The 26,472-nt window shown below is 48.8% G+C and overlaps 2 protein-coding genes across 57 annotated transcripts in view, besides 2 other annotated features; one reads left to right on the top strand and one right to left on the bottom strand.

Annotated features, from left to right (window-relative positions):
- RALGPS1 (Ral GEF with PH domain and SH3 binding motif 1) overlaps positions 1-26,472 on the bottom strand; it is a 308,385-nt gene that overhangs the window by 101,871 nt on the left and 180,042 nt on the right. The gene's annotated exons all lie outside the window — the stretch shown is intronic.
- ANGPTL2 (angiopoietin like 2) overlaps positions 1-26,472 on the top strand; it is a 35,288-nt gene that overhangs the window by 1,340 nt on the left and 7,476 nt on the right. The window contains exons 2-3 of one of the 2 annotated variants that reach the window (XM_006717030.5): positions 12,516-13,381; positions 14,190-19,068. In XM_006717030.5, the coding sequence (XP_006717093.1) occupies positions 12,565-13,381; positions 14,190-14,197 (825 nt within the window). In that variant the 5' untranslated portion in view covers positions 12,516-12,564 and the 3' untranslated portion in view covers positions 14,198-19,068. Of the gene's footprint in view, positions 1-12,515; positions 13,382-14,189; positions 19,069-26,472 lie in introns of those variants that run through there. The other variant, NM_012098.3, reaches the window with a different exon arrangement.
- Positions 8,829-9,440: an enhancer, noted in NCBI's record as "OCT4-NANOG-H3K27ac-H3K4me1 hESC enhancer chr9:129874135-129874746 (GRCh37/hg19 assembly coordinates)". NCBI's record gives its function as "activates a minimal SCP1, AML or CMV promoter by ChIP-STARR-seq in naive and primed H9 embryonic stem cells {active_cell/tissue: H9 hESC(naive and primed)}" and the evidence as "EXISTENCE:reporter gene assay evidence [ECO:0000049][PMID:30033119]".
- Positions 8,932-9,226: an enhancer, noted in NCBI's record as "tiled region #532; K562 Activating non-DNase unmatched - State 20:ReprD". NCBI's record gives its function as "activates a minimal TATA promoter and a strong SV40 promoter by Sharpr-MPRA in K562 cells {active_cell/tissue: K562}" and the evidence as "EXISTENCE:reporter gene assay evidence [ECO:0000049][PMID:27701403]".

Raw genomic sequence — 26,472 nt, 5'->3', positions numbered from 1 at the left:
GAACACTTAGCCTTTCTAAACCTCAGTTTTCTTATCTGTGAAATGGGATAATACTGCCCAGGTGGTAACAATGGCCAGAGAGTAACAGCTAACACTTATATTGCACTTACTCTATGCCAGACTCAACTTGTAGAATCCTCATGACCACCCTATAGCACAGGCATTATTATTCATCCCTGTTTTATAGGTGAGGAAACTGAGGTAAAGTAATGTGCCCATGGCTACATGGCTAGTAAGTGCCAGGACCAGGACTTGAACCCAGTGGTGTGGCTCCGGAGCCACTCAACCACACCCTACTGCTTTCTAGGAGAAAGCTAGGCGCCCATGCCTAGGAAGGCCTTGGCTTAGTGCCTGGTGCACAGCAAACCCTGAGCAAACCTTGGTCACTGATGATTACAAACCACAACAATCAGGACTGGCACAGAGGGAAGGGAAGAGCAGAGACACGAATTCTTTTTTTTTTTTTTTGAGATGGAGTCTCGCTCTGTCACCCAGGCTGGAGTGCAGTGGCATGATCTCGGCTCACTGCAAACTCCGCCTGCTGGGTTCACGCCATTCTCCTGCCTCAGCCTCCCGAGTAGCTGGGGCTACAGGTGCCCACCACCACGCCCAGCTAATTTTGTGTGTGTGTATTTTCAGTAGAGACGGGTTTCACCACGTTAGCCAGGATGGTCTCGATCTCCTGACCTCGTGATCCGCCCACCTCGGCCTCCCGAAGTGCTGGGATTGCAGGCGTGAGCCACTGCACCCGGCCAGAGACCCAAATTCTTTCCCTGTTCTGGACATATCCTGCTAGGGTTTTCAGAAAATCCCACGAGACAGAGATAATACTGTGGCTACTATCACTGCCCACACTGGAGGGCTTTCCAGGAGCCTGAGGAGAGGGGGGCTTTATGTCTGGGGTTTGGGTTTGGGGCCACCTGCAGCATGCCTGCATCCTAGAAGTCCATACTAAGAAAAAGTGCAGACATATTAACAAAAGGATCTAATACCAACCTTACAGGAGGAAGGGCATCCTGCTTCCCACATGGGCACTGCCTGTCTGCCTATTGATCTCCCCAGCAGAACCATAGTGGATAAGAAAATGCAGCTACCTTAGTGCTGTGGGAAGCTCACAAAATCAGGAGGATCCATAGTCAGGTTTGCCCCGGAGTTGCAGAGGAAGAGGCAAGGAATGGCCATCACCAAGTCTGGCACTATGGTGGCCATGTCTGGTGGATCTTACACCAGACAACACTGATACATCTTAGCCCAGGAGAGGAGCTTCTGTGCTGTGGCCCCCTGAGGTTCCAGTGGGCTCCCTGCACGCTTGGAAGCATTTTGAAAAGGTGACATCAAGTATTTGCTTCTCTAGCACAAGGCCTCTGGGGCTACTGAAGCCACAGGTTTCCCTGCTCCAGCCTGGAACCATGGTGGCTCACTGTCTTCTCTGGGCAGCTTAGGATGAGCAGAGGCTCTGACTGACTTCATGAGCTTGGCAAAAAAAATGGGACTACTTACTACTAATGAGGCAGTCTGGGTGGAACAGACAAAAATGTGTAACGCACATGGTCCAGCAGGGGACTACATGTTATTGCTGAAGCTCACGGGCAGAGCAAATAAGCTGTTCCTCCATCTGGCCCTCCATCCCCCAGTGATTTAGGAAGTACCCACTGGGCTAAATAAGGCATATACATTATGTCATTTCATCCTCACCACAACCCTAGAAGGTAGGTTCTAGTTTTAGCATCCCATTTTACAGATGGGAAAACTAAGTCTCGAGAGGTTAACTTGCCCAAAGTCACACAGTTATGTGATTATGTGGGACTGGAACCCAGCTCTGTCTGGCTCCAAAGCCCCTGACTTCCTCTCACTTCAGTGCCTTGTTTAGACACCTCAACTTCTCTTATCCTGACTGTCACTGGGTCCCTGCCCAGTGTCGTCAGTAGCCACATCTGCTTTGGTTGCTGTCCTATCGAATGCTGCACCAACCCCTCTGAAAACCATGGACTTACTCAACTTTAGCGCATCCCTTGCTCTTCATGGAAGCCTACTTCTGAGGCAAAATAGGCATGACTGTTACTCTTAGAGATGAGCCTCAGCACAGTTATGAGGGTACCTGTTATGTGGTAATATGGTCAGTGACAAGAGGAACTGAGCTTCGAAACCAGGTTGGCTGACTTGTTCCACGTGCCTGGGTGCTCTGCGATACTGTCTCACCACATCAGCACCAGGAAACTCTGTCCCCAGCTCAGTGGGGGCAGAGCCTCAGGGAAACACTGGTCCATGTGACTAAGATACTATTGATGCGCTTTCTACATCCGTACTTGGAGGCTCCTTTAGGACTGAAGAATCAGAGCTCAGGTCCTCATCACCCACACTGGGCCACACACGAGCAATTTCTGAGAAAACATCAGGGAGATGGCAATGGGTAGCTACAATAGAACAAACATAACAGACAGCAGCCCTGCCAAAGCAGGTACATTCAGCAACTGGCCTCTCTGAATCACAGCCCATTTAATCTGGAATGGTCTCAACTGACAGCAGGCAGATGGGGGAGGGGCTCTGCTTCATAGAGCCCACAGCCCAGCAGGACTGGGCAGACAGTAAATAATCACACAAACACACAACTGTGTGAAAGCTGTAAAGAGGTGGCACAAGGAGCTAAGAGGGTCCTCAAGGTGGGTGGTGCTGTCCCCGTCTTACAGAAGTGGAAACTGGGGGTCAGGGTGCAGCACCTCTCCCACGGTCTCTCCATGCATGGGCCAAAAAGCAAAGATTGAAACCCAGACCTGTGCTGGTTCCACCCCAGCCTGCTGCCATCCTGGACAACCACACTGTGGAAATCTCAAGAAAGAATCAATTCATTGAATAGCATTTCTTTTTTGTGAATTTATATAAAACACCCCAAATAGAAGAGTTATTCAGCCACAGGCAGCTTGGAGTTTGTGGTGATACACTGGTCACGTCAGAAGCCTCATTCTGGGGGTAGTTTCTATGACAAAACTGTGTTCTTTCACATGGACTGTGAGCCATATGACTGAGTTCATAACAGTGTTGGGGGTTACAACGTTACGATGGCCTGTCACATGTACACATCAATCACAAGCCACATTTTGGTCCCAGGAATGTTAAAATGTTGGGTGTGGCAGGAGAATCCCTTGAACCCGGGAGGCGGAGGTTGCAGTGAGCTGAGATCGCGCCACTGCACTCCAGTCTGGTGATAGAGCAAGACTCCATCTCAAAAATAAAAAATAAAATGTTGGGTGTGGGGAGCCAGGCCTCTCACAACTGAACTATTGTGTCAGTCCATTCTCTGCTGAAATCAGCCTGTCTGGGGCCAGCAGCCCCAGAGCCTCAGCAACCCCCTGCTGCCTAGTTGTCCAGACAGGCAGTACCAAGACCACCAAGGAAAAGCCCAGAATGGACTCTGTTCTTATCTTCAAGAGATGCCTGAGGACCTGCCCAGCTCCAAGAATCCTTAAAGTCCTGCCTGAGGTGGTCCCACTCCAACCTCCATGAGGGAAAGGCTGTGTCTGTCTCAGTTACTGCCGAATCTCTAATACCCACTCAGGGCCAGGTAGAAAAGATATCTGTGGAATGAATGAATCAATGAAGCAAGCCTCAGGCCCAGGCTCTCAAGCAAACAAGCTTCTCTACCCCAGGGTGCCACACCATTCCTCTCTCTGTTGTCCAGCCAAGGGCTTTTCTGAGGCTAGGTCAGGTGCCCCACAGCCCCCCAAGTTTCCCTATCTGGGCATGGATCTCTTTGCATTACAAATGCCTAGTCTCTGTCTCACCTACTACCGTGGACCCCTTGAGGGTAAGGACCTCACCCACCTTGTTCCTGTTCTACCTCCAGCCGCTGGCACAGTGGCTGGAAGAGGAGAACTTATTGGGAAATACATTATACAAATGAAGTTCTTGAATTCCTATTTAGTAACCTAGGTGCCATCCTGGATACTCAGTAGTCAGAGGAGGAATCTGCCCTGGCCCTGCTTTTTAAAGAAGCTGTAGTCAGGAGGGAGATAACCAGATGACTGCAATCTGAGTCTTGGGTGTTGAGTTGGAAGCAGCCACAGCTGCACTTGTGAGCTGAAGGAGGGAGGGAAGACCTCACTGAATGGATGGCTTCATGGTGAGGTCAACTTAGGAAGACAGGCAGGCATCAGCCAGGACAGTGGGGGAAGGTACTCGAGGCAGGAAGCACAGCACATGCAAAGGCAGGGAGGCATGACAACACAAGGTCTGTTTTTAAGCAGGACGCTGACATGATCAGATGTGGGTGTCAGACAGACAGCCCTGGAGCTGCATGCAGTGTAGACTGCAGGGGAGAGAGCACCCAAAGGCAGGGAGGCCAATTAGGATTGTGTGGGTAAGAAACCTGGCCCTGGGTTAGACAAATCTGTTACTGGGCCCAGCTCCACCACTTGGTAGCACTGTGCCCCTGGACAAGTGGCTTCATCCCTTACCTTTGTTTGCTCATCTGTGAAATGAGGATAGTCATAGCCCCTGCCTCAAAGAGCTACCGGGATCAGTGAGGCAGACACAAACATTGGTTGTCCCAGTGTTTGAGGAACAAGTCCATCCAAACAGCCAAGGTGGCCCTGGTGCCAACTTCTCAGCCTGGTCCAGAAAAGCAGCCCCAGGCAAGGCCTGGACTTCCCAAGAAAGTCACCCTGGGGCAGTGCTGTCCACCCAGCCCTTGACTTCTCCCTCTTGTCTAGGGCTTTCCCAGTTGTAGGGCTCCAGAGCACACTAGGCACTGCCGGAAATGCAGCAGCCAACTCAGAAGCTGGACTCTGAAATGGCTTCTGCAGACTCTTCCCCGCCTCTGCTCTGTTGGCCAAGGCTCCTGGCACAGAGGCCTCAGTGCACAGACTTTGGGGGAATCTCAAAATGGTTCCCAAATAACGCACTGTGAAAAAGTAACAGCAGTGTCCTTGTCCCCCGGAAAAGGCAACCAGCTCCCCCACTCCCTAACCACATCCCCCTCTACCCTATGATCTCATGGTGTGACCACAACCCGCCTCCTCCATGAACTCTTCCTGGAGCCAGCAATTCACCAATGGCAGGAGCACAAGAGCCCAAAGCATCAGGCAGATTCGAACCCCCAGTGCTACTCCTCCAGGCAAATCTGTCTTACCCTGCTTCTCTGACTCATGGCTCCCATCACCCATGACAGGTAGTAGCAATGCACAATGGCTAGCTGCATGGGAAGGCTAAATGGGTGGGTGATGGAGGGCTGGATGGATGGATAAATGGTTCATTCAATGGTCTTATGAGAGCTGAACTAGAAGGGTTTGGGAATTGACTCCAGACTCCCCAGGTGCCTTCTGGTGGGGAATCATTCATAGCATCCTCAGCCAGGAGGGGAGGGCAGCTGGAGATCTGGATATGCCCTCCCTGGCCTCCGGGCTGATGGTGAATCATCCAGGACAAACAATGCACAGTCCTTTCACCAGGTTCTCCAAGGTGAGGGTGTCACTGCTCATCCCAGATGCCCATTTTGGGGTCTTACCACTTGCGTGATCAAGCAGCTCTTTCCAACATCCAACAAAACACACCCTTGTGCTGACCTGAAAGCTATTTCTACTTATTCAGTCAACAGTGAGTAACATGCAAGCTGCATCTCAGCCATTAAACAAACAAGCACCTTTTATTCATACTGGTTGAAGAGACAATCTTGATGCAAGGCAGGGTTTGGACCTAGCAGTTGACAGCTAAATCCCAGTTGTGATATTTACTTCCAAGTGATCTTGAACAAGCGACCTAACCTTTCTAGACTTGGGTTTCCTCTACTGCCAAATGCAGATATAATACCTTTCTCTTAGGTAATGGGATCATATAGTTTGTTGCTCAGTCAGGACAATATTGAGAGTGAAAAGGGGGTGCTATTAATAACTACATAAGACCGCAACCAGCATGGCGAAACCCTGTCTCTACTAAAAATACAAAAATTAGCCAGGTGTGGTGACAGGCACCTGTAATCCTAGCTGCTCAGGAGGTTGAGGCAGGAGAACTGCTTGAAAGCGGGAGGCAGAGGTTGCAGTGAGCTGAGATGGTGCCATTGCACTCCAGCCTGGGTGACAAGAGCGAAACTCCATCTCAAAATAATAATAATAATAATAATAATTACGTAAGACAACAGACCTCAACTGGGGCCAACCAGGATGTATGGTCCCCTACTCATAGAGCTATTAAGAGCCAATGAGATAGAGTACAGCTGGGCACCCAAATTCACAACAAACGACAGCCATTATTAGCAATACTACTGGTCACCTGATCAGCTGGGCCTTTTCCTTCATCTGGATCCCTCCCACATCTTGGATTACCAACTGGTTTGGATACTTCCCTACCAGCACACCATACATTTCAACAGCTTAGTAGGAACACCTGCTAGCTAATGTTGATGTTTTCATCTGTCTTCTGTCCTGATGATAGTTTCACAAACTTGATTCATGCTCAGGTCCACCAGACTCACTCAAGCACAGCTCAGGCTTCTAGCTTCCCAGAACCCCGACGTCAGGGGCCAGCTGGCAGTTCCAGATTCCCTGACTGCCTTGGCAGAGGCCCGCTTCTCAGGCCTCCTGCAGTGCTGGGATGCCTCTTATGGCGTGGACCCATTATTGGCCTTCATCTGTGATCACAGACCAATGGGCAGTGCTGACCAGAGGACGGGTGGTGAGGGGGTGGTTCTGTAAGTCCTCCAGGCAGGACTACAACCTGGACTGATGATGAATCAACTCCTGAGATCCGGATTTAATTTGGAGGCTTCCCTGGGATCTGCAGGCCTAATGACGGCAAGAGCACTCCTGTCGTCGTCCTGCCTAGAGGGTCAGAGAACAACCTCTTTTGGGTTTCCAGTCACTTTGGCACTTTGGTTTCTCTTTATTCACAGTATGGTATCTTTGGGGGTTATTTTGGGATCTGTTAGTGGCTCTACTACTTATTAATTTGTGATTTGGGCAAATGACTCACGATCCTCAAATCTCAATAGTTTCCTCAACTGCAAATAGGGATAAATGTCAGCTTTGCTGTTAGCCTTAAAAGTATCTTTGTGGGCATCAGAAAATTGCTACAATATAAATATAAAAAACATAAAGACTATGAATGTGAGTTGTGTCCCCTAGAGTAGCACAGTGCTCAAGTGGGGCCACCATGCATGGCGGCCCTCAAATAACAGGCCGCCTTCCGAGGGCTGTTGGGAAGATTAAGTGAGATAATGTATATAAAGTGCTTGAGCCATAGTGACAATTTATTGTTGTTATTCTTTTAATTGCTGGAACTTTTCTCATTTCTAACCTTTGGGGTGAACTCAAAAGAGGATCCCAGGCCGGCAGCTTCTGCTGCAGGGCAGAACACACAGCTCCATCTGATGAAAATGACAGCTCTTCCCACAAAGTGGCCCCTTGCTTGGGCTGTGGCACCACAGTGGTGAGAGGGATGCGGACACATGATGTGTGGCCCCACCACATCAGGCCAAGCGGGGACATTCAGAGGCAGCCCACCGGAGACTGGGTGGGACCCAAGCCCTGGAGAGGCTGCCTCCCAGTGTACAAAGGCTGTCACGTGGCACAGTCACACCAGCCTCACTTGTGGGGAGGGAAAACCCATGCGTGATGGAAACTCCTCACAATACAATGTGGAAAAGCAATTTTAAGAATCGTTTTTATTTTAATTCTGAAGCCAAGGAAAACAGTTGGATTTGCTTTTCTTTGTTGGACACAGGAAAAAAGTGAGGAGCATCACTTTGATTGGAGTTGAGTTCTTCTTCAGTCCTAAGATGGCTGGAATGCCGGGGTGGGGGTGGGGGGTGTTACTTCTCTTGAGATACAATGAGTTGAATAAATATCAAGAGAGCAAAAGTAAACAAACTTATTACTGCCCATTAAGAGCCGCCAAACTGGCAAAAAACTGCTGGGGGGAGGGGAGGAATTGGGGTTGGAGTCTTGGACTCCAAGGAAAATAAATGACTCTGAGGCTCAAAGAGAAGCCCAAGGAGCATGGCCCTTGGTATCAGGTTGACCCAAGTCCTAGGCTCAGTCACCTTTGGCTGTTATCTGCCGTGTGTTCCTGGGCAAATCACTGAGCCTGTTTGGGTTGCAATGTCTCCGTTGATAAAACAGGGGTGAATAACAACCCACCGGATTACCTGGGACAATGTATGTCAGGCGCCCAGCACAGTGCCCTGTTCCTTCCCTTCCTTCCTGTAACCCAATCAGTTCTGAGTCACCCCCACTAAGCCTAGGCCCCACAGAGGTGTAACAGTAGGACTCAGAATCAATGTAGTTACAAGAGGTCCCACTGCTCGCAACATGACCTCAAAGTCAGCTACCCCTACACCTTTTTGAGCTTCAGTTTCCTCAGCCTAGAAATGGGCATAACACTAGTAAGTCACTCTGAGTGTTGGAATGATTAGATGAGAGAATGTTGATGTGAAGGGTCTGGAAGCCCTAAAGCCCTGTGCAAGCATTAGTCAAGGAGATGGTGTGAGTGCTTGGCACACTGCCTGGCCCACACCCAGCATCCTCACTGTTGTTGGTTTTGTTTCAGCTTTGTTGTTCTTGCTATCGTATTGCTAACACATTATTCCAATCTCCCGCTTCTGATGCACTTCCATGCTGCTCACCTAGTGTGCAAGGTGGGTTGGATCATCCCATTTCACAGAAAAGACTCAGCCTTTGAGGTCTCAAGTGCAATGGCAAGAACTCTGTCGGGGAGCTGTGAGAGCCCATGTTTGGGAGAGGATAGAACTCAACCATAAATAGTGCAAATCAAATCTGGAGGTCCAGGAAGGCTTGGAAACCAACCTTGTCTTGCAGCCAGGTTGCCTCCTGGGCCTCTGGCAGTTTCTTGGCCACAGTGGAGCCCTGCGCCCACATGGGCACAGAGAGGTGTCTGTCACCCACTGCCTCAGGTGAGCAGCCTGAAGAAGGCGTTGGCCCAGCAGGCCTGCCCTAGCCCAGGGTCGGGGGCGGCTCCTCCCCATTGTTCTGGGGTGGGTGTGACCACTAGCACAGGGGCAGCCAAAGCACCGTTGGAAACGAGGCAAACACTTCCAAACTCAGCTGGGTTTCCACTGACGTCACTGCAGCCCCACCTCCTAGCAGAGCCCAAACCAGAAGCTCCCACACACCTTTCTCTGCCTAGCCTCAGAGAGGCCTGAGCAGGCCATAGGAATCATGCTTGGGCTTTGTCATTTAAGTGGAAAACAGCTCAGCAAGGCCCCAGGGAGCACAGGGTCTCTTTTGTAACTGCTCACTGGCTGGTCCAAGGTGGAGCCCAGACCCAGGGTCCTCACTGGAGAAGCCCCCAAAGGGGTTCAGGGAGGACAAAATCTTTAGGTCCTGTGTCATACTTGTTATTTTAGCACAGATTAATGTGAAATCAGAAAGTAGTGATGCTAATACCCTTTTACTAGTAAAAACCAGATTAAATACATGCCTGTGTCATCGTTAAGAGTTAGCAGGTTCCAATCCAGCAGACCAGGGTTGAGCCCTGGTTCTGCCACCTTCTAGCTTTCTGATTTTGGGCAAGTCACTCAGCCTCACTGAGTCTCAGTTTCCTCACCTGTAAAATGTAAACAGCAACAGTATCTACCTTAAAAGGAGATTATGAGAACACGGGAAACTGGAAAACACTTGCAAAATGTTTAGTCCAGGGTCAGGTATATAGCGGACCTTGGTCAATGGATGTTATTAATAAATACACACATAGGCCCTCCTCTGCGCAGCTCTGACCTCCTCAGGCAGTCACTTGTCCATGGGATCCCTGCCCCAATCTATCCCTCTTTCCAGCACTCCCAGCTGCTCAGCAGCTGTTGGCAGGTGTGTCTTGTCATTCCATCAACAAATATTTATTGAGCTCCTATGTATTTCAGGCCACGTGGTAGGCACTGCACATGGAGCAGTGACCAACACAAACACCTCCCTACCATCATGCAGCTTGCATTCAAGGGAACGGGGAGGAGACAGCGTGTATCTTATGGTGATAAGGACACTGGAGGGGGAATGTGGTGAGGTCACAATCTTAAATCAGCAGGGAGGGTCTAACTGAGAAGGTGGTATTTCAGCAAAGATTGAAAGAGGTAAGGGAACAAACAACGAAGAAGGGGGCAGGGACCAGCAAGTATAAAGGCCCTGAGTCCTAACTGTGCTTAGAACACTTGACAGACAACCAAAAGGTCAACCAGGTGGTTGGAGGAGATGATCGTAGGGGAGAGGGGTCAGAGATGAGACCAGGGAGGAAGTGGGGGCCAGATCATAGAGTGCCTTGGAGACCCACTAGCTTTTCCTCCAAGATGGTGAGCCACTGGGGGGTTTTGAATAGAAGAGTGACCCCGTTTGACTTTTTAAAAAGGACCACTCTGGCTGTGAAGTTGAGGACAGAAGGTAGGATGGGCAAGGCTGGGGCAGGGAGGCTAGTTAGGAAATTACTCCAATAGTCCAGGTAAATGATGCAGGTGGGTTGCAACAGGGTGGTGGCAGGGAGGTGGGGAGACACAGGACTCTAAGAATATTTCTGGCATCGTAATTTGGCGGTGAATTAGATGTGGGGTATGAAAGAAAGAAAGGCGTCTAGGATGACTTCAAGACTTTCGGCCTGAGCAACCAGAGTGGACATTTATGAACACAGGAAAAACTGGGATGAACAGGTTGGGTTGGAGATACGGGGAAAAACGAGTTCATTTCTGGATGAGTTGAGATACCTAGCAGATAGTCAAGTGGAAATGTCAAAAAAGCAGCTGTATGTATGAGTCTAGAGTCCTGGGGAGAGTTCCAGAAATAAATGCGGATGTAATCAGTACTTGAGGGTGATCACCAACGTGACCTCTGGATGAGATGACTAAGGTAAAGAAAATTCTGAGGACTGAGTTTTGGGTCCCCTCAACAGTAGAGAAAGGACAGGAATATGAGGATGAACCAGCACAGGCTCTGAGGAGGAACAGCCGGCAAGACAGGAGGCAGGGTGGCGCTCTGGAAAGGAAGGTCAAGAAGGGAGCCCAACTGTATCCCACAGTGTGAGAGGGAAAATATTAATGAGGATCAAGAACCAGCCCTTCCATCTGGCAAACAGACAGGGGATCCTGTCTAGGGCAACCTAGAATGAAGGGGAGCGGGCAAAGCCTGATGAGGGTGGGCTCAAGAGAGACCAGGAAGAGAGGAACTTTCTGGAAATGGTGAGTGCAGGCATCTCTTTGGAGGCTTTGCTAAAAAGGGGAGCAGAGAAATGCAACAAGAGCTGCAGAGGGGATGTGAGGTCAAGAGAGGGTTTTAAGTTGAGAGAAAAAACCGTATGATTATAGGAAAACCATCCTGATGTTGGGGAGACGGTGAGGACTGCTGGAGCAAGGCCCTCGAGTGGGCAAGAGAAGGGATCTAGCACGTGTCCTCCCCTCCCTCTTGGCCCATTTAACTCCTACTCATTCCTCAAGGGTCAGTGTAAAGGGCACTTTCTCAGGGAAGCATTCCTGACCCTCTAGGTCAATTCCCTGTAATACTCCTTTACAGCATGTGACAGTTGTGCTTTCTGGCATTTGGGAATGGCATAATGATGTGAAAGCCCCATGAGGGCAGGGACTGGCTCCATCCTGTTGGTAGCTGTATCCCTAGCCACTAGCATGCTGTCCAGCAAATCACAGGTGTTCAATCAACATCTGGTGAAAGGATGAATGGTCCAAGAATAGAAGTGAAGCAAATCTGGAGACACATTCTGTGTTCTGCTCCCTTCTAACTTAATCACGTTGCAGTGGTCAGGACTGTGCTGTCACTGGCTACTGCAAATATTTGGATTCAGAAGAGCTCAGTTGTTTGTTCCTGTTTTGGCTCTGTAGCTTAGCTAACACAGTGACCAGAGCCACGTAACTGGACACATCCTTCCACTGATATTGTCCACTAAACCCTGAATGTATTCCATAACATGTCTAACGATTCATTTGTTTATCAAATATTTGCCCAAAGTGCAATATCCTGGGAATACAGGGTTGAATCAGACAGACGACATGCCCTCATGGAGTTAGAATCCAACAGAGAAGATCAAACAGAACTGCTATTCAGCACAGCGGTGATGGGTATTACAAGGGGAAAGTTCAGGGGGTGTGAAAGTATAGAATAGGGAGACTCAACAGTCTGAGGAACCAAAGGTAGCAGAAGAGAGAGACCAGAAAACCCTCCCTCTGCCTCCCCTCCCCAGCCTGAAGCTGCCTGGATACGATTCTCAGGCTCTAGGCCAGGAGTTCAGCAAGGGGGCTGCGGGCATTGGAGCTGGCTCTGGGAGTAGCAGGGCCATGGCCTCCTGCCTTCAGATGCCCTGAGACCCTCCCTCTTCCCTTCTACCTCTGCTGGGGCTTGCCTGTCTCCTCTTGCTTCCAGAATGGCTGCCTGTTCTCTGACTCCAAGAGAATATAACCCAGCATCCTGAAGCAGAGTTTTTGGAAAGCTCTGCCTGCCTGGCGAGAAGGCTGGGATCACTGATGGCACAGGGCACTGACAGTGGTGGGACCATCACTGATTCTCCCCTCTGTTTACTTTCAGGCTTTCATAGATTCTATTCACAAAGAATAACCACCATTTTGCAAGGACCATGAGGCCACTGTGCGTGACATGCTGGTGGCTCGGACTGCTGGCTGCCATGGGAGCTGTTGCAGGCCAGGAGGACGGTTTTGAGGGCACTGAGGAGGGCTCGCCAAGAGAGTTCATTTACCTAAACAGGTACAAGCGGGCGGGCGAGTCCCAGGACAAGTGCACCTACACCTTCATTGTGCCCCAGCAGCGGGTCACGGGTGCCATCTGCGTCAACTCCAAGGAGCCTGAGGTGCTTCTGGAGAACCGAGTGCATAAGCAGGAGCTAGAGCTGCTCAACAATGAGCTGCTCAAGCAGAAGCGGCAGATCGAGACGCTGCAGCAGCTGGTGGAGGTGGACGGCGGCATTGTGAGCGAGGTGAAGCTGCTGCGCAAGGAGAGCCGCAACATGAACTCGCGGGTCACGCAGCTCTACATGCAGCTCCTGCACGAGATCATCCGCAAGCGGGACAACGCGTTGGAGCTCTCCCAGCTGGAGAACAGGATCCTGAACCAGACAGCCGACATGCTGCAGCTGGCCAGCAAGTACAAGGACCTGGAGCACAAGTACCAGCACCTGGCCACACTGGCCCACAACCAATCAGAGATCATCGCGCAGCTTGAGGAGCACTGCCAGAGGGTGCCCTCGGCCAGGCCCGTCCCCCAGCCACCCCCCGCTGCCCCGCCCCGGGTCTACCAACCACCCACCTACAACCGCATCATCAACCAGATCTCTACCAACGAGATCCAGAGTGACCAGAACCTGAAGGTGCTGCCACCCCCTCTGCCCACTATGCCCACTCTCACCAGCCTCCCATCTTCCACCGACAAGCCGTCGGGTAAGTGCTTCTGGGATCGTGTTACATGTGGGTCTCAGAGCCAGGCACCAGGCTTCCCTTGGCTGTGTCCACAAATGGGGAAAAGCCATGGCCAGTTGAAGCCAGGCCAAAGACATGCACAATCCCCCAGCAATCCCTTGGGCTGAGCTGCTGGAGCCAGCAGGGTGACGGGTGGCAGGGGAACCACATTCCTTAGATGGATCCTCAAAGATATTACCAAAAAATGGAGTTTCAGAAGAGGGCAAACACTCTCTGGTTTCTGACAGGAAAGAACCCAGAGCCTGTAGTTTTCTAGGCTCTGCATGAGATCCCGTGTGTTGGCAGATAGAAGAGAATGTCTCTCCTGCAGCTCATGCACTGTGCCTGGCACAGGGTTGGCCTTCTGTAAATGTTCACCAAATAAACAATGGGCCAAAAGAAAAGAAAGTATTACCCATGTTAAGAATATGATAAACACATTGTAGGGGCTGGGCATGGGAAGGAGTCCTTCCTAAAGCCCACACACTTCCTAGAGTCTGCTGCTGTCTAGAATTTTCAATGATGCTTCCATATGCTCTTACATACACGTTTCATCTTAAAATACAGCAATTCTCCGAATACCGTTATGGGGGAGGAATGGGATTGCTGGCAGGTTTTAAAGCTTAACCAAGATACTGGCACCGGACATTTCCATGTATGTTACATAATTAACTCCTGGAGCTCCTTGCGGACAGGATGAATAACTTGCTAATAGGCTTAGGATGTTCAGGCTAGATTTGCATTCAGGTCTTTTCACTTTAAATCTCTGGCTGACTTCTCTATGCTCTAGGACTCTAGGAATCATCATTTCTGGAAGAAGCAGGCCAGAGGCTCCCCTGTCAGAATGTCAGCACACATCCAGTCCCCTGAAGCTCAGCCCCTTGTTCATCCAGAACACCTGAGCCTTCCCAGTGGGCTGCCATATGAGAACTATATTCATCTCTGCATAAATGAACCATGTATCTACTCCAAGTCAGTGCTTTCGGTACCATTTCATTGTATAGGCAGGGAGAGATTTTTACTGAAAATATCCTGCTTTACACTTATTTCACACTTTTAAAAATAACCACCAGTACTGGGAATAGCAGCTTCTTGCTAATTCCAAAGAGGGGCTGAACCTGAGTGCAGGAGGGTGGCCAGTGCAGAGGACAAGGGCAGCATTGTTTTCAGATGGGGTGGGTGAGGTGAGCTAAATGCAAAGTGAGCATCCACTGCAGCACCTCAAAGGAAAGACCTGGCCTGGGTGCAGGATTGAGAGCAGGCGCTTTGGAGTAGGCTGGCTTGGATTTAAATCCGGTTTCCACCACTGATTAGCTCTGGGACATTAGGCAAGTCACTTTGTCCCCCTGAGGCTCGGTTTCCTCATCTGTTAATTGAGGATAGATTAAAATAGTGCCTGTCACTTTAGGAAACGAAATACTGCAAAAAACATGTTTAGCACAATGCTGGGTCCACGGTAAACTACAAGCCTCCTTTGATCTAGGTCTTTTCATCTTAAAACAAGGAGACTGAAATAAACAGTCCCTTTTTTAGCTCTGGCGTTCCATCTGTACACGTGTCTGCTTTAAATCAGAAGCTCTGAAAGAGAGGGCAGGGTGTGTTAATTTGTCTTGATAGAATACCGAGAGGGTAAAACGTGCCCTTGGGCACCAAACAAAGGCTCAGTTGAATGTTGTTATAACCCTGACTGGAGACAGGCTGGACTCAATGGTTACTCAACAGATCTCCTCTGGCCTAAGTGTCTCTGGTTTCTAACTCAAAACATTTCAGGACATTCCTGGGCTTGAACTAAGCTGGCAGATACATAGTATAGGAATAAGACCTGGGTTTGCATCCATGCTCTACCCCTTGGTTAGCTGTTCGCTCATGAGATAGTTATTTAACTCTTCTGAGCCTCAATTTTCTCCTCTGTAAAATGGGGACAAGGGTCATAACCTCACAGTGTTATGCTGTGGATACAATACAATCAAGCATGAAACATTATGTCATGTAGTAAAGCCAACATTTGCTGAGCCCCTACTACATGCTAGTCGCAGCACTAGACTTGGGGAAGTAGGTGACAATTGTGGTCCCTGACCTCCAGAAACTCAGTCTGGGGTAGACGGCAGGTGCATGAATGCATCTGGGATCCGTCCAATGCCCATGATTTCTAGTCCCTAACATCAGCACATCAGATCTGACAATGGATTTCTCTGGGAGGGAGTATCCGTCGAGGCCAAAATTTCTAAAATCAGGAATGCAGTGAAAACTGGGCTGTCTGATCACTGTGGTGATACCCTGGTGTGCTAAGTGCCCTGGGGGACAGTAAGGTGGCATGACTAATTCTGCCTAGAGGGAAGGGAGAGATTAGATAGACGTGGCACTTCTTTGTTGCATCTTGAAGGATTTGTAAGATTTTACCAGGCAGACCTGGGAGTTGGGAACCCAAGTGACTAGTGGGTCCCTGATGGAGATGAGTCTGTGCAAGGGCCCAGGGGCACAGTTCTATTCCTGGCACCTCAAATGGTTCAATCTCCTGCTTCTTTGTGTTCACAACCCAGTGTGGGCTGTGTGTATCCAAGTGTCCTGCACTCGCCCGTCTTTTGTCTCCCACTTAAGAAAGCACGCCGTCATGGGAGGGAATGGCAGTGATTTCATCACAGAGATAACTGGAATGCATTAGAATTTATCCTTCTTTGTTACGCAAGGATCCCCAAATGTTGGTACTTGCTCATTACCAGTAGATTTCTTGTGACCCATCTCACCACTGAGCTCCCACACAAGGCGCTGCCAGCTGGGATTGAGTGCCTAGCTGTGGAAGATGAATGGGTAGACAGAGCCCAGGAAGAGAGCAGCTGGGGGAGGGTCCTGCCCTCTCCTGGTGTTGAGGACTAAACTGGGAGGAAAAAACAGATGGTCTCTCTGCACGGAACAGTCAGGGCATCCAATGAGCAGAGAACATTCTTATCAGGTCTGTTCAGAGAGCTTGGGGCAGGTTCTTATCCTGGAAGACAAAACACTCTTCTGTGCTCTTACCCAACAGATCCTTTGTTCTTAGGGACATCACTTAGCCAGAAATACCTTTGCAATTAAACACCTTTGCATCCGAGCCTTGGCAGCTTCCAAACCTTTCACTCAGCAGCCTCAGAGCCATGTGCTCTTTTCTTCGTCTGCCCACAGCATGCCCTTCCCCAGGGGACTAAGGGAGCCATGGCTGCTTATCTGAAGCTGTACCACAAGCCTGTTCCCAGCCTTACTGAGACAGTAACAGGGTGGTCCCAGGCCAGGATGGCCTACTGAGAGCCTGAGTGAGGAGGCACAGGCAGCTCCTGGCTTCCCTGGCTCCTCACCTGGGCTTTGTCCTGTGTCTCTCAGGTCTGGCCAGACCCAAAGGCATTTTGATTAGGATGATTCTGTGATGAGGCCTGGGCCAAATGGCCCTATCTGTGGTCCTCTGCCCCACCTATCCTGCTGCTGCTATTAGAAGAGGAAGGCTCCAGGGGTCATTCTCTAAGAGGCAAAGGATAGAGCAGGCACCTGGGTTCTGGGAGGCCTGGTACTGTTTCTCAGGCCACCCAAGGCAGAGCCACACATTTGCCAGCCCTCCTGCACAGTGCCCATCCCAGAGACTGATCAGGGAGGAAAGGACAGCGCCAACAGCAGCTGCCACAGACGGGCTTTGTCAGAAACTAATCTTTAAAGACCAAAAGGAGTGAGCACTTTTAGCTGTTTTCTCTCCTGAGAAAGAGAATACAACCAGTTCACTTTATTTCTCAATGAGTGAAGAAGAAGGGGCCATAAAACCATGAAATACTGGAACTATTAGGGGCCTCTCAGATCCCCTAGCATGGCCTTCCTGTAACAGAGCCTGTTGGTGGCAGAGCAGAGATCGACCCTGGGACTTGTACCTTGCAGGATATTGAGGTTCATAGAGGTCAAGTAACTTAGCCAAGGGTACACAGCTAGTAAGTGGCTTGGCCAAGGCTCAAACCAAAGTATGTTTTAACTACTCTGGATATTGCACACTTCCACGGGAAGGCTGGAGGGGAACTGGTGTAAAAATCACCCCGTGAATGTCTGATTTGGCCCCAGCTGCCACAGGGACCTGACCTTCTATCTCTACTTCCTGACCTTCTAGCTCTACTTCCTGGTACCACGTTCCAAACAGTTCCTTAAAATGAGCTCTGGGAACAAAGGTGGTAGATTTGTTATTAGAACATGGTTCCAATGACACAAAACACTGTCGCTACCAACCCACCAACATCATGCTCCCCCTCCCTAGGCCTAGCAGGAACCAGCCAAGCTCCCCAGTAGAAAGTACAACGTGCACCTGACTCCCAGCAAATGGACCCAACTGAAGTCTAATTTTTAATTTTTATCAAATCTGGACATATCCTCTGGGGTTCCTTCTACTCAGCATTTCAATGTATAGCTAAGTCTTTCAACATATAGCTAAGTGTGAAGTTCTGATTTCTTTAAATGTTAGCCCTGACTGTATAAATGTCAGTAGACATGACCTTCCCTTGGGACCACATGAGGAGGTCCCCACATTGCTTCACTGACAAGAGTGCTAGCAGGAAGCCACCCCATCTCACAACAGATGGGCTATTGGGCTATGGCCAGGATGGCATGGACAACTTGAACAAGAGTGTTTTCCTAGATGGATTTTCCACCTGTATTTTATTCCACCCTATAAGGTAGGAAATACGTACACGATTGTGGTTCCCCAGCACAATGGTATGTTTTAAAACAGAGAAATATATGATGTTGTAGCTCCCATTCTTTCTGGAGGTCAAGCAAGCAACCAGGTGAAAAGGTGTCAACCCATGTGTGGCTGGGTCAGCTTCAGTAGGCTGGGCATCCAGGCCCAAGCACTGCAGAGAGGTGGAGAAGCACAGGGTGTGTGTGGTGATGGTGGCGAGTGAGGGTGACTCTGCCCATCCTGAGTCAGCCTTCAAGGTCACAGAGGCTGAGGGAAAAGCCCACACAGGTCTCCTGCCTCCAGAGCGTGTGCTGTTTCCACTGTACAATACTTTCTTTTATTCTAAAAGGTTTTGTTAAACAAAATAAGATTTCAAATTCAGTACAAACTACATAATCCAGTGATTTCTCAAAGAGCACTCTTTGCTAGCTTCTTCCTAAACAAAATCTACTCTAGGAAGATGGCCCACCTGGATGATGGTTCCAGGAGGGCCAGCTCCCTTATTGCTTTGCTTTCTCTTCCTCCTCTTCTGGTACCTTGGGGAACTGATCACAAAGAGCCTTTTGAGGGTGATGGAAAGCTACCCCTCCATTCCTCAGGCAGTTTTCCAAAGATGACACTTGGCTAAATGCTCAGGGTATTTACAGTCATAGGAGATAAACTATCAACTTGTTACTGTTAAAAAAATCTTGAGATCTGGGATCTTGATGCCTGAAAATCCCAAGATTGGTACTTGGCAAACTGAAAGAAATCTAGAAAACCCTAGAGATCAGGCATCTGTGGCCAGCTAACTGGTCATACAAATGGATTGTTGTGGTGAACTTGTATAGTATTAATCCTGAGATGCTGTCCCCCTCCACCCCCACCCCCACAAAAAAAATAAATAAAGTAGTATTAAGTTAGCCTCATACAAATGCTGGCACCATGCTCCTGGACTTCTCAGCCTCCATAACTGTGAGCCAAATAAACTTCCTTTCTTTATAAATTACCCAGTCTATGCTATTCTGTTATAGCAGCAGAAAATGGACTATGTTCAGTCTTGTAAAAGTAATGAAGTATATACTTCCAGTGGTTTATACCCACATCAGTGAAGGATGCAGGCAGCAGAGACCTCTTGATGGGAACACTGGAGATGATCTTTCCTACTATCCCCGCATCACCACTGCCTCAACTTCGGCTCTCCCTGGCATGAATCTGGTCAAAGATTATGCTGAAAATAAGCCTGATGGTCCTCATCTTATATCTCAAGATGAGCCTGTGGAACTACAGGGCCTGGAGTATTTATGTGATCCTTTGTTTAAAAAAAAATAAGTTACTTTTCCCTGATATTTTTGAATACAGTAAGTCAAAACTACTATACACACAGAGAAAAATCTTGCTAAGACAATTTGTTTACGTTATAAATGCAACAGCTCCTAAATGTTGAAATTAAGTATCTTAGATGGTATGTCTAGAGTAGGGTCCAAATGAACAAAAAATCCACTCATCTGGCACCATCCCAGACATAATGTGCAGAGAGACCACTACAAACTGTCCAGGCTTTCCCACAAAGCAGGTTTCCTTTGCCAGGGTTTGGTCTGGATGTGGATTATCATCTGTTGTGGGGTCTCTCTTTCCAGATGGATTTATTATTATTGGTTCTCAGCTGGAAAGCACAGAATGAAGGTAGCAAAGGGGATGCAGCTCAGGATGGTGAAGGATGGAGGGTGAAGGATGGAGGGTCAAGGATAGAGGATTGAAGGATGGAGGGAGGCACACAGAGCATTGAGGGACTCATGGAGTGAGCCTGCAAGGGTTCCTGCCTGAAAGGAGCCCACAGTCTTATGGGGACACAGATCCCCAACAATCCTAATGTGGTGTGATAACTGCAGCACAGAAGGTGGACCTGAGTTCTAATCCCAGATCCTCCACTTTCCAGTCATGTGATCCTCTTGAGCCCTGGCTTTCTCACAGGTGCAGGGGCTTATGAGGATGAAATGAAACGGTGTGCAAAGCACATGGCAGGTGAAAGGCTCTAGATACATGATCATCACCATTCTTACCTTATTCCAGTAGAGATAAATATACAAAGCATTTTGGGAACACTGAAAAGGATAAAGTAGCTTTCCTGGGGTTGGGGAAAGCTTCCTGAAGGAGGTGATGAGGAAGGTAAGGGCCTTGTGGTGCTCTCAGAACCACCACCAGTGATAGTCAAGAAATCATGAAGACAAGTCTTGGTGCCAGACAAATGTCCTGCTTTCAGAAAAAGAATGCATACCAGAAATCACATACAACTGGCTTGTGGTGAAGCCCCAGTAAAATTATAGAAAAGAGTACACAAAGGGTTCGTGAGCATTTGGAAGATTAAAAGGTCACCAATGAAAGCCGACATAGGTTCTTAAAGAAGAAACCAATGAAGCTGATCCCTTCCTTGGAAAGGGTTAATACACTCGCCAACTATGGGACTGCTACCTGTCCATATCTGTGGATTGTAGTCATGGGTCTGATAAGTTCTTCCATGATGTGCCTGCAGGACAGCACCACAGTCTCTGACAGAGCCATGGCCACTCTCATTAGTGTGCCTGTGGAACCCTGGGGCACTGCCCACCTCTACATCAGAGACCTCCCTCACCCAGGAAGCCTTGGGTACAACTGGCCACTGCCCCCAGGGAGCCAAGGTGAGCTGCTCACCTCTGTACACAGTGAGACCACTAAAGCCCCTTCTAAACTCTTTTTTAAAATGTCTTTAAAGCCCCTGTTTCTCCTCCTGCCCAACAGCGCTGGTGGAAACCTAAGAGCGACGCAATGCTTTGGACAGTGGCCTCTGGAAAGTAGTGCTGCAATGTCTGTTTCTCCCGAGGTCAAATGAGCAGAAACAGGACCTTTATAAGCCCTTTCTGGGCCCTAAGAGCTCTTACTTGAGAGGCCTCAGGCTGTATCACATGCATTGAAATGACCTACCTCACACATTTAATAGAATTTTTACTGGAACAATTTTGAAAGGATTTAATACTTTTGCTTTTAAAATTATTTGGCTAAGAGTAACTCAATTAATTTATGGTTGGATCTCATTTCTCAGTAAACATCAAGCATATTCAGGAATTCTTGGGAAGTGAAAAAAATCTAACCTACAAGTTGTTTTCAAAAGTAGTAACATTTTCATGAAGACAAAATTTAACAATTAATGAACTTGACAAGATGTCACACTTTGTAGTAATTTAATTACATACAATAAATTTTGATTTTGCAGTTTTCTTTTCATATTTTAGAGCCAGTAAGTCTTTTTAGGCCTCAAACATTTTCATCAACTCCTGAAACACTCATTGGCCCCAGGCACCATGCCCATCGTTTGAGGGCTAAAGCGGCCTGAAAGCAGGCACAAGCATTTGGACCTTTTCCCTGGAATGATCAGAAATGACATGTGTGATATCAACTCTGAGGTTCTGCAGGAACTGAAATGCCTTTGGGACCATACAAGCTATTCCTGTGTTTAGGTTATTGTTTTGTACTCTGGTTCGCTGAAAAGCAGTGATTGACATAGAATATATATACATCCATAACCAGAATCTTATTTTGCCAAGCCTCTGGATAAATGAGATTCGAAGACCCCCAATAACTGCTTCTCACTGTAGCCACCCCTCACACCCCATCCCCCGACCCTGTGTGTCTGTTCTCCTGCCCTCATGGGGTGCCCAGTGAGTCCTGATGCTGGCCTGGGTGGGACTCTCACCTAAGCAGGCCACGTGCCGTGGCACTCAGATGCATTAATTTGGGTAGGAAATTGCAGATCCAATTTCAACAGTTAGTCATTTCTCCTGTTAGAAAAATGTTTCAGGGAGTGGTAAGAAGACTTTTTGGAGACAGACCATCAGTGAGAGTAACTGAAAACAGCATACAGTTCTCATGAAAAGCAGACTGCATCTTAGTGATATCACAGAAGCCTCTCCCTAGTGCCTGCGTATGGACTAAAATATTCACAGGAGCAACTTCCCAGAACCAAGAGCCCCCCAGAACATTTCCCACAGGCCACAGGGTCCTCTGAGTGGCCTAAGGTGGTCAAATTCTGACACCTGGGGCTGGACTCAGGGGATAAAAAGGACTGTCAGGCTGCTGGCCAGCCATGGGGTCCAGTCCCGCTGTGGGCAGGAAGGACTCTGCTCCTCCCCCCACACCTCAGGCACGTCAGAGAGAAGAGGCATCCCTCTTGCCCACGGAGGCCTCACTGCTTAGCTCCCAGCCTCAAGGTCAGATATTCACGGAGCCATGTTTTCCTAGTAAGAGGGGCACTGCACTGAGAGCTGATGCAGTTTGTGAGCCCATTTCTCCACTAGGGCCTGGACGGGTAAATCAGGCTGATGCTGGTCTGCCCCAGACCCACAGAGAGAGAACTGGAAATAGGAAGTTATGCTTGCCTGGCCTAGGTGCCGGTTCTAACTCAGCTTGACCAGAAAGGCCCTGTGTTGGGAGTAGCAAGCACTGTATCAGCCATCAATCAAGTGGGTCCTGGTTTCCTGGGAGGCCATGGTCCTTGTGTGCCTAATCCCTGTCAAGAACCCCAGAGAGGAGGAAGGAAGCACCCAAAGCTGATCACCTCCAACACTTACCAGGGTATGGCAGTGGGGTCCGGGCTGAGACCTGTGTACTTGGTACTCCCCTACTTGCTGATGTCCCTCCTCTGGAGGCCTCCTGACCCCAGACCCTGTGTGCCTACCCATCCTTGTTGCTTCTTCAGGGAACCACACAGACTCGGCTCAGCCACGGGGCTGCATTTCTCTTCACGTGGAACATTTGGCCACAGCTCCCCCAAGAATGTAAATGTGGTCTTTATAGAGATGAGGTCGCAGCACTCGCTCCACTCTGAGCCCAGGTGCTGCCGAGTTAGTGTTGGCCTGATGCTCTGGGCAGAGCTGCCCTCTCAGAAGGGGCGCCAAGTTAAACACCGCTAGGTACTCTGCACTGGTCCAAAGGGAGCGCTTTGCCCACTGCACGTTGAAAACTCAGTTTCATTGACAAAAAAGATTTCCATTCTTCATGTCAATATATCTTTGTGGCCTTCTCCACTGAAATTCTGACTTAAAAATACATGGAAAACATCTACTGGTAAATATCTTACATTTAGTCTTGTATTGAAAAGCAAATATAGTAACGTGTGTGGAGGAGGAATTAGTTGGGGGGGTGAACAACTTCAAAAATGTCAGCTTTCATCTATCAAAGGAAACAGAAAGGGATAATCTTCACAGAGCACCTGCCCCAGCTGGCTCCCATGCTGGCCGCTCTTGGGTTCATGACATCCTCAGAATAGCTATGGTCTCTTCCCATTTCACAGAAGAAGAAATTGAGGCTCAATGAGGACACTGCCCAAAGTCACACTGTGCATAGGTGAGGCCATCGAGATTGGAGCCAAGGGCTCCTGACTCCAAGTGTGGAGTCTCCCTCCAGCCCTCGCTTCCTCAGCCAGGTCTTCCTCCATCGAGGCCAGACCCTTGCCTGGCCCCCTACGAGGGCATTATTTATATGGAACAGCTATAGATTTTTCACAGTATTATTTATATGTTACAGTTGTGGATTTCTCATCAAAGTAGGATGTTTTGTCTCTGCTATTTTAAAGGAGCCACATAATTTTACTGCTGACAATTTTTCAATGTTAACTCTTTTTCTGACTAATTTTCATCCATCAGTGATGTTTCTGACCTTTGCCACTGGTGCCTTTAATGTGTGAAAAGGAAATGTGTTTGAATGCAGGAGATTTCACAGAGGTCTACTAAGGGTTCTAAGGGAAATTGTGTTTGAATTTGTGTTTTTGATGGAAGCTAATGGGGCCTGATTGTCATGTGAAATTCCGTGTACAGACACATATGCACATTTTTTGTAACAGCAGAAAATACTAAACATTTCTACACAATTTGATACCTACTCGATTATTCTAGAAAGCCTTAAAAGAATTACCCCGTTTGCCTTTTTTAAAAAAAGAAAAACTTCTTCTACATCATAACAGACACTACAATCGTTGAAAAATGGGCAAAGAACACCAAAAGGTAAATACGGAAGAAAAAAATCATTAAAGATTTTTAAAAGTTTTACACCTCGACAAAGAACTGTAAATTTTTATGTTTTATTTTTTTCGCTGGCTGACTGGCAAAGATTAACATTAGTTCTAAGGACACAGAGCTAAGTCAGCATGGATCCCTCATTCTTGAGTTCGTTCTGGTTGGGGGAAAAGAAGTAGTGTGTGAGCTCTGCACACCCCCTGGGTGCATACACCTGCTGTGTCCTTTACCCACCAGGTAACCTTGAGGGGCTCCTCTAATGACCACAGGGTCTGCTTTCCTACCTCACAGGAGTGTCAGGAGGGTCACCTGTGGAAATACGTGGCTAGGACCATAGGAAATGCTCAGTACACACTGGCTATTATTATTACTACTTCAGTCACTACTCTTAGAGCAAGGAGTTTATAACCTGGGACTTTGGGAATCCATTACCTTCTGAAACTGTATACAGAATTGTGTGAGTCTGTGCATTTTTCTGAATAAAGGATCTAGAACCATCCCCAAATTCTTAAAGGGACTAGTAGCCCCAAAACATTTAAAAACACTTGCCTTTAAAAAGAGCCCTTGGTGGAAATGCCAAAGGTAAAACTGAGATCATTCATGGCGCCCACAAAGGCAGCCCCAGCTGGAGCCACGAGGCCAACTGCCACTCTCCCAGCAGCCTCCACAGCCTCTCCCTACGTGGCGCCTCCTTCAAAGGCAGCCTTTACCTCTGACAATTCTGCAGCAGTCCTGGCAGCTGTGCAGTAAGAGGCTGGGCTGCTCGCTCTCAGTGGGCGTTATTTTGCAGGCTTCTGCCGGATCTTCCGTCACCAGCATTCACATCGAACGGCCTCTCCTGTGCTGCTGACTTGGTAAGGAGCTGGGAGGCCTCCCACGCCCACCGGCGCTCTGCTCCAGCTGTTGGGGACAGACTCCCATTCTCTGCCTCCATCCCTGGGGCTTCAGCTAAACACAACCAAAACCTTTTTCTCCTTCACAAATGCTCTTTCTGGAGGTCTAGCCTCCCCTTCCCTGGGAAGGATACTGAGGGAGTGGTGGGGGAAAGGCAGGAAGTGGCACTGGCAAAGGAAGCAGCTGCTTGTGCCCCATCTGCTACCCTGGGGTGGGGAGCATTGGGTCCTGCCCCATCCCTTAGAGAAGAGGCCTGGCAAAAAGGTAAATGGGTGAGAAGATCCTTCCTCCCCAGAAGATGAAGGGAGAAGCCCCTGAGTTAAGTGTCAGCACCCAAACCAATCTTTCTTATCGGGGCAATACTGGGCAGTGGGAAGCAAGGAATGAGCAAGACAGCCCCTGCCTTCCCGTCAGGTTCTAGGTGGATGAATGCTCAAACACAAGGCTTCTTCCTCAGGAACAGCCCACCTGAGATGTCTAACAGAGACCAGAAACCTAAATCTTTCTGGTTTATAACTATTACGTGTGAACTAGTTGAGCCCAAACACCAGCCAGGAAGGAATCTGAGAAGTGTGACCTGTACCAGAAAAGCTGAGTATACCTGTCACTGATGGGCACCTCCCTTCAACTCACACAGAAAGAGAAAGGACAGGAGTCTACAGGAATTCAAGTGGGGAGGAGGTAGTGAGGTCAGCTCCTCCCTTGCAGGGCGTCAGAGCGGCCCCACCCTGCCCTGAGCTTCCGCTGCCCAGCACCGCATCTGCAGAGGCTGGGACTCAATACACAGTTGTTGAATAAACATACAAATTGATAGAAAACATACAATGGTACTTTCTTAGCACTTTTGTCCTTAACCAGTCTCATTGTGGGGATTTTTATTTATTTATTTTTTTGAGACGGAGTCTTGTCTTGCTCTGCCACTCAGGCTGGAGTGCAGTGGGGCCATCTCAGCTCACTGCAACCTCCACCTCCTGGATTCAAGGGATTCTCCTGCCTCACCCTCCCGGGTAGCTGGGATCACAGGTGCGTGCCACCACACACGGCTAATTTTTTGTATTTTTAGTAGAGACAGGGTTTCACCATGTTAGCCAGGATGGTCTCGATCTCCTGACTTTGTGATCTGCCTGCCTCAGCCTCCCAAAGTGCTGGGATTACAGGCGTGAGCCACCGTGCCCGGCCCTATGAGGAATATTTTGAAGAGACTGAAGCAAAATGTGATTTTCTTTCTTTCAGCCATTTTCATCTGAATGGCTAGGCCTTGACCTTCTAAAGCTTCCTCAGATCAATGAGAAAGGCCCCAGCCTGTCCAGACCCTTGGTGACTCAAGTTTGTACCTTCTTGCTGATGTGACCAACAATGGAACATAAGAAACTGCCTGGGGAGGGCAGAGTTGATGGGCAGGGGTGGGGAGGGCTAAAAGACCAGTGGTATAACACCCATTCCTTCTGACTGGGCTGCCCAAGCTCAGTGCA

The sequence above is a fragment of the Homo sapiens genome, chromosome 9, assembly GCF_000001405.40.
Source record: "Homo sapiens chromosome 9, GRCh38.p14 Primary Assembly".
NCBI classification, from domain to species: Eukaryota; Metazoa; Chordata; class Mammalia; order Primates; family Hominidae; genus Homo; species Homo sapiens.
Note: the sequence above shows the minus strand (reverse complement) of the source record. Positions and strands in the feature narration are given on the sequence as shown.